This window comes from Homo sapiens, chromosome 2, assembly GCF_000001405.40.
Source record: "Homo sapiens chromosome 2, GRCh38.p14 Primary Assembly".
NCBI lineage: Eukaryota > Metazoa > Chordata > Mammalia > Primates > Hominidae > Homo > Homo sapiens.
This window is the reverse complement of record NC_000002.12, coordinates 75,298,959-75,308,701: the sequence shown is the minus strand read 5'-3', so window position 1 is coordinate 75,308,701 and position 9,743 is coordinate 75,298,959. Positions and strand designations below refer to the sequence as shown.

Sequence of the window (9,743 nt, the reverse complement as noted above, 5' to 3'; positions counted from 1 at the left end):
GACTTTTCCTCTCTAGCTATGAAAGCCTTAGATGGCATCTTCTTCTAATGGAAGGTTGTTTTGTCTACATTGGAAATCTGTTGTTAGTGTGACCACCTTCATCAGTGATCTTAGCTAGATCCTCTGGATAACTTGCTGCAGCTTTTCTACATCAGCACTTGTTGCTTCACTGTGCACTTTTATGTTCTGGAGGTGGCTTCTTTCACTAAACCTCAGGAACCAACCTCAGCTAGCTACTGACTTTTGTTTTGCAGCTTTGTCATCTCTCTCAGTCTTCATAGAACTGAAGAAAGTTAGAACCTTGCTCTGGATTAGGCTTTGGATGGAGAGAATGTTGTTGCTGGTTTGACCGCCTATTCAGACTACTAAAACTTTCTTCATATCAGCAATAAGGCTGTTTTGCGTTCTTACCACTGGTATGTTCATTGGAATAGCTCTTTCAATTTGCTTCAAGAACTTTTCCTTTCCATTTATAATTGGCTGACTGCTCCAAGAGGCCTAGCTTTTGGCCTATCTTGACTCTTGACATGCCTTTCTTGTTGGGCTTAATCATTTCCAGCTTTTGATTTAAAGTGGAAGATGTGTAACTCTTGCTTTCACTTAGACACTTAGAGGCCATTGTAGAATTATTAATTGGCCTTTATTGTCTTATATGGGTGCAGTCCATGGCACTCCAAAACAAATACAATAGTAATATCAAAGATCACTGGTTACAGATCATCATAACAGATATAATAATAATGAGAACATTTGAAATATTGTGGGAATTACTAGAATGTGACACATATAAGCACATGCTATTGGAAAAATGGTGCTGATAGACTTGCTCAACACAGGGTTACCACAAACCTTCAATTTGTAGAAAATGCAATATCTACAAAGCTCAAAAAAAAAAAGCACAATAAAATGAGGTATGCCCATATGCCAAAGGCACTGATTTATTTGAGAAGTCCCCCATTTTGGGACTTGTATATGTTTCAGCCACCATCTTTGTGCATACATCTTTCTCCATAGTAAAAATTCTTAGGTTTAAGATTTCAAGATTAAAGATATGCACATTTCAAAGATTTTGGATACATACTACCCAATTTCCCTCTGGAAAAATTATGCCTATTTACACTATCAGTGTTTGAGGGCACACATGGATCATCCATTTTAGGTTATATACTTTGCCATACATCTAGTAATTCCAACCTATTGGTCACATTATTAAAGTTCTCTAACATTAAGTTTTATCTACTTGGTTTAGCAGATTGATTGAAGGTATGTCAAAATATCTTACTATTGTCTTTCTGCTTACGTTTATATTACTAACAGTGTATGCTATTTGCACAGAAAGTATAATGGCTGTTATAGCTTCAGGTTATCAATATTAAATTGCCCTATATATTCTATGTAATGTGTTTTGGCTTGAATTTTTTACATATAGGTGTTCAGTAAATGTTGCTGAAGTAATGAATGTCACTGCCTAGTGGAGTTCTTGACATGAGGTACACTTGAAATAAATCTTGCCTGCCTTTCAGAATACCTTGCCATTATGAGACTGGGCTGTCTCCTCTCATAATTGTCTCTTTGAAAACTGCCCTCATTTCAAACATGATTTTCTAATTCTCATATGAGTGGTTCCTCTTCTCTTGTATTCTTTTATCCTATTTATTATTAGTCTCTTTTATCTGACCAAAAGGTGAGATAAGACTAACCTCCATCTTGCTCTCCCAGCCTGGAATCTGAGGCTTTGGTGGCTGCTTAGAAACCAGGAATAAAGGCCCTGTAGCGGCAGGTCTTCTAATGTATTGTGCATGAAAACGACGCCGGGAGCTTGTTAAAGTTGAGTCCTGGGCCTTCTGATTACATAATGTGATTCAATAGGTTGAGAGTTAGGCCCTTGAATCTGTATTTTTATTTTTTATTTATTTATTTATTTTTTTGAGACAGCGTTTCACTCTTGTTGCCCAGGCTGGAGTGCAATGGTGTGATCTTGGCTCACCACAACCTCCGCCTCCCGGATTCAAGTGATTCTCCTGCCTCAGCCTCCCGAGTAGCTGAGATTACAGGCATGCGCCTCCAAGCCCAGCTAATTTTTGTATTTTTAGTAGAGACAGGATTTCTCCATGTTGGTCAGGTTGGTCTTGAACTCCCGACCTCAGGTGATCCTCCCGCCTCAGTCCCCCAAAGTACTGGGATTACAGGCTTGAGCCACCGCGCCTGGCCTTGAAGCTGTATTTCTAAAATACCTCCTGAAATGCTTCATTTGTTGCAAGTGAGCTTCAGATAAGACTTTCAGAAGCACTGTCCTTGGGACCTTCCTAACTTCTCACACTATTTGGGCATTTCAGAGCTACTAGAGCTCAGTAGTTCAGTGTTGGTGGCTTTCCCCCTTCATTGATATGCCAGAAGGCTTATATGTGTTAATTTACAAATGCAACTTTAATCTACAAAACGAAAATTAATTTCTGAATCACTAATTAGGAGTTGTAGAATGTGCCCTTAGACACCAACAGCTCTAGGGACTCGCTCTTCCCCATTAGTAAGCCCCAGCCAAGGGTGTTCCCCTTCATTGTGTCTAGATAAAGTATTGGTTTCAAAGGCCAAATAGGAGCCCAGGGAATTTGATTCTGCAGCAGGAATTTCTAAAATGCAAGATACTAATAATGAACCCATAAGTTTTAATTGAAAAATTAGAGCAATTTTTCGAATTGCTCTAATGCCATGTGCCACCTTAGAGAGAAATGGCCAGTTCAATATTCAAAGCTGGTTGGGGGAGGGAGGGATGAGGAAGAAGCAAAGAAACAAATCAAAGAAGATCTCTCCCATGTAGTATGCCCAATTCTTGGGTGGGGGGGAGTGAAGGGGATGTGGAGAGACTTGCACACCTGGAGAGAAAAGGAGAGAGAGAACCAGGATGCAAAGCAGCTGACGCCAAATGGCGAGTCTTGCGGATATTCTCTGATCCCCACTCCAGGCATCTTCTATATCACATGGTGAACCTTTAATTAGTGTAACGGAGACACACATCTTACTTTTGCAGAGAGCATGCATCACAGTTACTCACAGACATGAGTTGAGAAACACTGCACAGTGATTACATGTTTTTGAATTGGTCTTCCACATTGAAAAGTTGAAATATCACATAAAAATCCAGGTTGCTAGCTTCCCCTAAAAAATGGGAAGATCTACCAAACTAGATCCTGTTTCCAACTTGAGATTTCAGTGGGAGCCGAGGATCACCTGCCCTAAGAGAGGCTTCTTAGGTTGCTATGATCTCTACCACTCCGTCTGTCCATTTGAGTTCCCCAACCACTACTTCACCTATCAGGCCCCTGAAGCTTTTGGTCTTACACGTAATATTTAAAAGCTGACTCCTGTGTCAGCTGACCTCTCCTTCACATCTCATTTAAAGAAAGGTAATTTCTCACTGTCATGGAGAGGACTCTATCTTCCAGCCACTGTCCCTCTGGAAAAAGTTAGGGGGACAGAGAGTGTTCACAGGTAGCCCTTGGTCACCTAGCAGAGATGTCCATTGATCCCCTCCTCTACAGCCCCAGTGGGTGACAGTTACATCTTATCCAATAATAATCTACAGCTAGGGTGACCTCCAGCTCGGGTGACCAACTCATCCAAGTTTGCCCAAGATGGATTTAGGCACTAAAAATCTCATATCCTGGAAACTCTCTTTCCACCCAGGCCCAAGCAAGAGCAAGATGGGATAGTTGGTCAGCTTATCTTCACCTGGGTAAAGGGGCTCTGGCATTGGACACTGTGGGCATCTGGCTCTGGAGCAGACTTTTGGGCTCGGAAAGTTCAAAGGGTTGTGAGGAGAAGTTATAGGCAGCCTGCAATAGTGGGCATCTGGCTCTGGAGCAGACTTTTGGGCTCGGAAAGTTCAAAGGGTTGTGAGGAGAAGTTATAGGCAGCCTGCAATAAGAACTCTTATATGCTGGCAGACAGGGGAGCAATTTAAGATGTAACATGTCTTGGGCTTGGAAAATTAAACAAATTAGACCACTTCTCACCCTGCTCTGTATATCTAATACAGCTGAATAAGGATTTAATGATTGAGAGTGGCCAGTCATCTAACCTGGCCTAGGACTGTTGGCTTGTGCCTCCTATCTGACCGGGCACTCATGAGAGCTGTCATCTGTCTACCTGGCCTCCTGGGTCCAAAGGAGGTTGTCTTTTCCTATAATCATAAGGGTGATAAATAGAGATTTTTAATTAGTTTAAATTATCTAGGCTCAAGATCCCTTTCATAACACTTATGTCCATATTTTGACTCAAACATTTGCCTTTCAAATGTTTCCAGGGCTATTTATGAAAGTGAGGATTGGCCTGTACCAGCTTCTGTAATGCAGAGACATAGTTAGGCATATTATAAATCCGTGACTTTATCCATCTATGAGTTTCATTTTGTGCTTTTTCTTACATTTGTTGTCAGTCTTAAAATTACTCTGTGATTTTTATGTGAAACACTTTTAAAATCTAGACAAGTATAAAGAGTAAAACAATGTATTATTTCCCACATAAACTCATTTTTATTGACTTTATAGAAATAATTTGTATCTTCTTTTTTCATTTAAGGTAATTTCATAAACAAGGATAATATTAAGAAATATTTAATGGCTGGGAGGACATAAGCACAGACCCAATGGGGATGAGGTCCATGCCAGGCTGGCTGTGGGGTAGAGGGGGTCCTGGAGTCCCAGGCTCTAGCAGGCCTGTACCCTTTAGATTGTAGGGTTGTAGGTAAGTTTGAGAGGCAGGGGAGGTTCCAGACAGGCAGAAGAGCAGAGGTGCACTCAGGTCCACAGGCTATTAACCAGGACCAAGACCTTTAAAAATCTTTGTCAGCATGAAATGTACATAGATATAGTACATTATAGGTATAGGTATGTATGTGTGTGTAATACATGCACATAGTTTTAAATTAAAAATCAAATGCTGCCAAATAGCTACTAGAAGCTATTACTCTCGATTTTTTTCTTCGAATATTTTCCTCCATATTATTCACATACACACCCACATATACATATATATCCACATATATCACCCGCAGTAACAGGAAGTTGATAAATACCTAGATATATACACACATGAACACATATGTACATATATATGCACACATATGTGTGTGTCTAGGTGTTATTTATTGACTCTTATTGCAGGCAGAGTGTTTTGTTAGTTTATTTGCTTTTATGTCTTTTCTTTTTCCCACTCCCTCATCCTCCTGATATGATTACATGACAGTTTTGGTTCAATGTGTACTCAGTGGTTTTATCATTTTGACTATGCAAATAGTGCTTACTGCCAAATGAAATTGAATGCTGTGATTACATTTTCTTTCTTAGAGAGGCAGTTCAGAGCCTAACAGGCTGCTTGAATCCCATTCTGGCACCTCAGGCCAATCTTTCTATTTTTTCCCACCTGAATAACGGAGATATCAATAGTACCAACTTGCTAAGGTGATATTTACAATTAAATGAGTTGATATGTGTAAAATGGCTTAGAACATTAAGTCATGTGATGGAAGTAGTCAGTAAAATATAAAAAAAAGCAATGATTATTACTACCTTTTTTCTTTATCTTGGAGTTAAAGTTGCCTCATTGACATTTTTTCTTCATTTCTTTTAATCTCTTAGTCTTCTGACACCCTTCAACAATTACATAAAACACCTCTTACTACAATGTTCTTCACGTTCAAATCTATCAGGTAGCAGATCACAGTTGGGAAATTTATAAGGACTAGTGGTGATTATGATAAACGGAAAGAGATAGCCATCCAGAGTTCCTCTGTCCACACAATGTTATTAAGACAGGCTTCCCTTTTGCCTGCTGCACAGCTGACCTGTGGGAGCTACCTTGCCATCATCCTTGGATTTTGCTTGCCTCCCTCCTGTTAGAGACCTTTGCTTCCTGAACTCTGTGCTTTTCTCTTACTATAAATCCTAGCTTTGGTACAAAACAGCCTCTTGTAGTTTCTTGAGAGGATTTCAATGAAGATAAATGTAGGTATATTTCTTGAAATTTTGCTGGCCAAAAAAATACCACTACTCTACTCTTCTGTATGATTGATAGTTTGGCTGGATATAGAATTCTAGGTTGAAGATCCTTTTCTCTCAGATTTTCCGAGGCATTTTTGTCTTCTAGCATCCAGTGTTGTTGTTGAGAAAATCTGCTGCCTTCTTGTTTCAGGCCTTTGCCTGAGACATGATTTTTCTCTCTGGAAATATTTAGGATCTTTATCTCCAGAGTGTTCTGAAATGTCATGATTATGTTGGTGTGGGTCTCTTCCCTACATACCCCTCCCATGCATTATGGTGGCCATGAGGGCCCAGGAATCTGGAAACAAATATCGTTTAGTTCTGGAAAATGTCCTTGCATGTTTTACTCCTTGATCATTTCCTTTTCCACTAATTTACTTATTCTTCCTTTTGGAAACCTATTAATTGAATGTTGGCCTTCCCAAACAGATTCCAGGATTTCCATATATTTCTCACCTTTTTCTTCTACTTTCCAGGGGATATCCACAGTTTTATCTTTCAAGCATTTTACTGAATGTTTTCTTAGCTATCCTATTTTAATTTCCAAAATGACAGTCTCACTCATTAGCAGCATGACATTTCACTTTATAAACAGAACATAATTTACTTAAATCATCTCTTTATATTGCATATGTAGACTGCTTACAGATCATGATGCAATAAACATGCCTGTGTCATATCTCTGATTCAATACAATTTTCCAAAACTGCACTTACTGAAACAAAAATAAGCATATTTTGAAGTTGTTAATACATAGCATGTTACCAAAATGTTTTCCCAAAATTTGCATGCATCTGTATCACCATGCGGACAGCAGTATTATCATTTATTTTAATATTTGATAATATGATAGATGAAATTTCATCATTGATGTTGATGTTTTGTTTTGATTTATTTCATTGCTGTGGAGATTAAACTGTTTCTTGGATTCATTGTGTGTTTTTGTTCTTTTTGCACCTATTTATTGCATTTTGATATTTTTCATAGATTTGCTTGAAGTGTTAAATATGAGGCATGTTAATATTTTGTTGGAAACATTTGATTCAAGTGTCTCAAAGCTTTATGCATTTTATTTTGATATTATTTTATAATATTCACTAAATTTTATTTTTTATCATCAAATTTATCAATATTTTTTCTGCTATGTAAATATAATAATCAAAACCAAAGAAGAAAGACAAGGAAGAAAAAGTAATTGCCACAAAGACATAATAAATATTTACAAAGTAATATTCTTACTGTCTAGAGATTATATTCAAGTCAATAAGGAAAATTCTGCACCACCATTGGAAAACTTGAGCATAAGAAAACTTACAGGAAAGACAAGTAGTTAATAAGTATCTGAAGTACATTTTCAGCCTCATTAGTCATCTAAGGAGAGTCAATGAAAATGTAACACTAATTTTTGCCCATGAAATTAGAAAAGATTTTAAAAATAATAATATTGGCTAAGAGTGAGGTGAGGTTGGAATTCTCATGCTAATAGGCATGTAAATGGATTTAACCTTTCTGAAATTAATTTTATAATATACATCTAAAATCTTAAAAAATCCCATAGCTTTTTGCATAGTAATTACACTTTCCTAACTCTATTCCAAGTAAATAATTAGATGAGAGCACAGCGAACACAAAGCTACTTACCACAGAATCATTTATGACCAAATAAATTAAAACATCATAAATTTCCAGCACCAGAGGAATGGTTTAAAAATCCATGGCACATATGATATAATATTGTTCCACCATTAATATGATATTCACAGAGAACTTTAAGTGTTATGGAAATACTTATAATGTTTAGTAAAAAAGGAACGTAAAGCTATATCACAGTAAGATCTCAACCATCTAATATGTAAATATAATTATAGGATTAGTCATGTGTGTGTGTGTGATCCTGATCTTCAGTGTATGGAGACAGATATTTAGAGAAAGAGGGAGAAATACTGACTACCACAAAGTTATTGAATTAAGTGTGATTTTTCTTTCTTTTTGTACTTCTACTTTTCTAAAATGTGCATGTAAAATGCCTTTAGAAAAGATTAAATGTATGGCTTCCTATTTTTCCTAACAAGTCTACTAAAAGAGAACTTACTATGTCAAAATAATTCATTTTTCTTAGAAAGCTGTTAAGAATTTTGTTAGTTTTTAAATATTAAAATTAGATTTTCCTAAAGCTCCTAATCATTTTAATGTCTTCTCCTTTGATCCATCCAGAATGCATCTTATATCTCTTCTATATAGCAGTTATTAGCTATTACTCCTTTCTAGGATTTCATCCTTTTAAGAGCAGTTTTTTCCTGCTGTAGCTCCTGTGCCTATAAAGACATCTGACACGAACTGATCATACAGCAAATATTTGTTGAATGAATTAAACATAACCTAGGTCTTCCATATCTTAGGTGTGTTTTTCAGTCTATCTCTCTTGGTTAAACTTTATTTCCATTTGTCAATATTCTTAAGTTGTGACTTCGAAGAGATTAAATGTGGTCTAATGTATACATACACACACGTATATATATACATATCTAAGATATGTATATCTAGATAATATATCATGAACACCACCTGGGATTGCATTAATTTATTTGGCAGTCATATCACACTACAGGCTAATATTGGCCTCTCTGAATGCTAAAACTGCTATGTCTTTCATGGATGTGTCTATCCACTCATAACTCTCCACACTTGCATTTGTTCAGTTGTTTGTGGGGCTTTTTTGGACCATGTAAAAGACCTTACATAAATCCTCATTAAATTAAACTTTTTAGATATAAATGCAAATGGTTTTAGATAATGATTTTGTCTTTTATGTATTCATGTCTCTTTGTAGCTTCATATCATACACAAATTTAACGAGCAAGCCCTCTATGTCCTCATCTAAGCTATGGGCAGCTTTCTATAGTTATAAGAAAAGTATTCCTAAGCTGTAGTTGAGTCATTTGTCATTTGGAGCAAATTTTCTCAATAAATTACAAATCCCTATATTGTCTATGCTATACTTTTCCATTTTATCCACTACAAACAATATCACAGGAGATCATGGCATAACTCTTGCTGTGCCTGACATGTACAATTACTGCATAGCGATGGAGGATGCAATCCAGTTTATCTCAATCGTCAGTCTCTCCCTTTTCAGGAATAAAATATTCTTGGAAAATCACATTCTAATTCCATTTTAAGGAAGATAACTATTTTCCTGGTTTCTCCACAATCTGCCCATTAGCCCCAGTCTTCAGTCCCGATCTTCCGTGGAGGTGGCACTCTGTTTTATTATCTCCTTTGGGCATCTCCTGCCAAATCGGCTCTCAAAATATTGGGTTCTCTAGGGCTCTTTCTACAAGCTTCATTCTTTTCTTTTCCTTCACACCCCAAATTTAATTTAGCGGTAACCCCCTTCGGGTCACCTTCAAAATACATTACAAATATGACCATTGAATACCACTACACTGTTATGACTCTGGGTCAAACCACCTCTTCCCCCATCTGAAGAAACACAGCAGCCTCATAAGCAGTCTCCTAGATGCTCTCTTACCACTCCAACCCCAAGTTCATCAGCCACACAGTGGCAATGAGATAAAATTTTATTTTCTGCATAAAAGAAAAATCTAAAGTCCTTACCATGTCCTGCAAAGCCCCACATGATTTGTCCCTATTAATAAAAAAATTACCTTCCTACCCTCCTCCCTCTTGTCCCATGCTCTAGTT

General features: G+C 37.2%; 1 long non-coding RNA gene across 2 annotated transcripts in view; it reads left to right on the top strand.

The window, feature by feature from the left end:
* Positions 1–9,743, top strand: part of LOC107985900 (uncharacterized) — an 85,220-nt gene continuing 75,477 nt past the window's right edge. For both annotated transcript variants that reach the window (XR_001739546.2, XR_001739545.2), the window contains exon 1: positions 1–9,743. This exon is cut by the window's right edge and continues 19,821 nt beyond it. This is a non-coding gene — a long non-coding RNA (uncharacterized LOC107985900).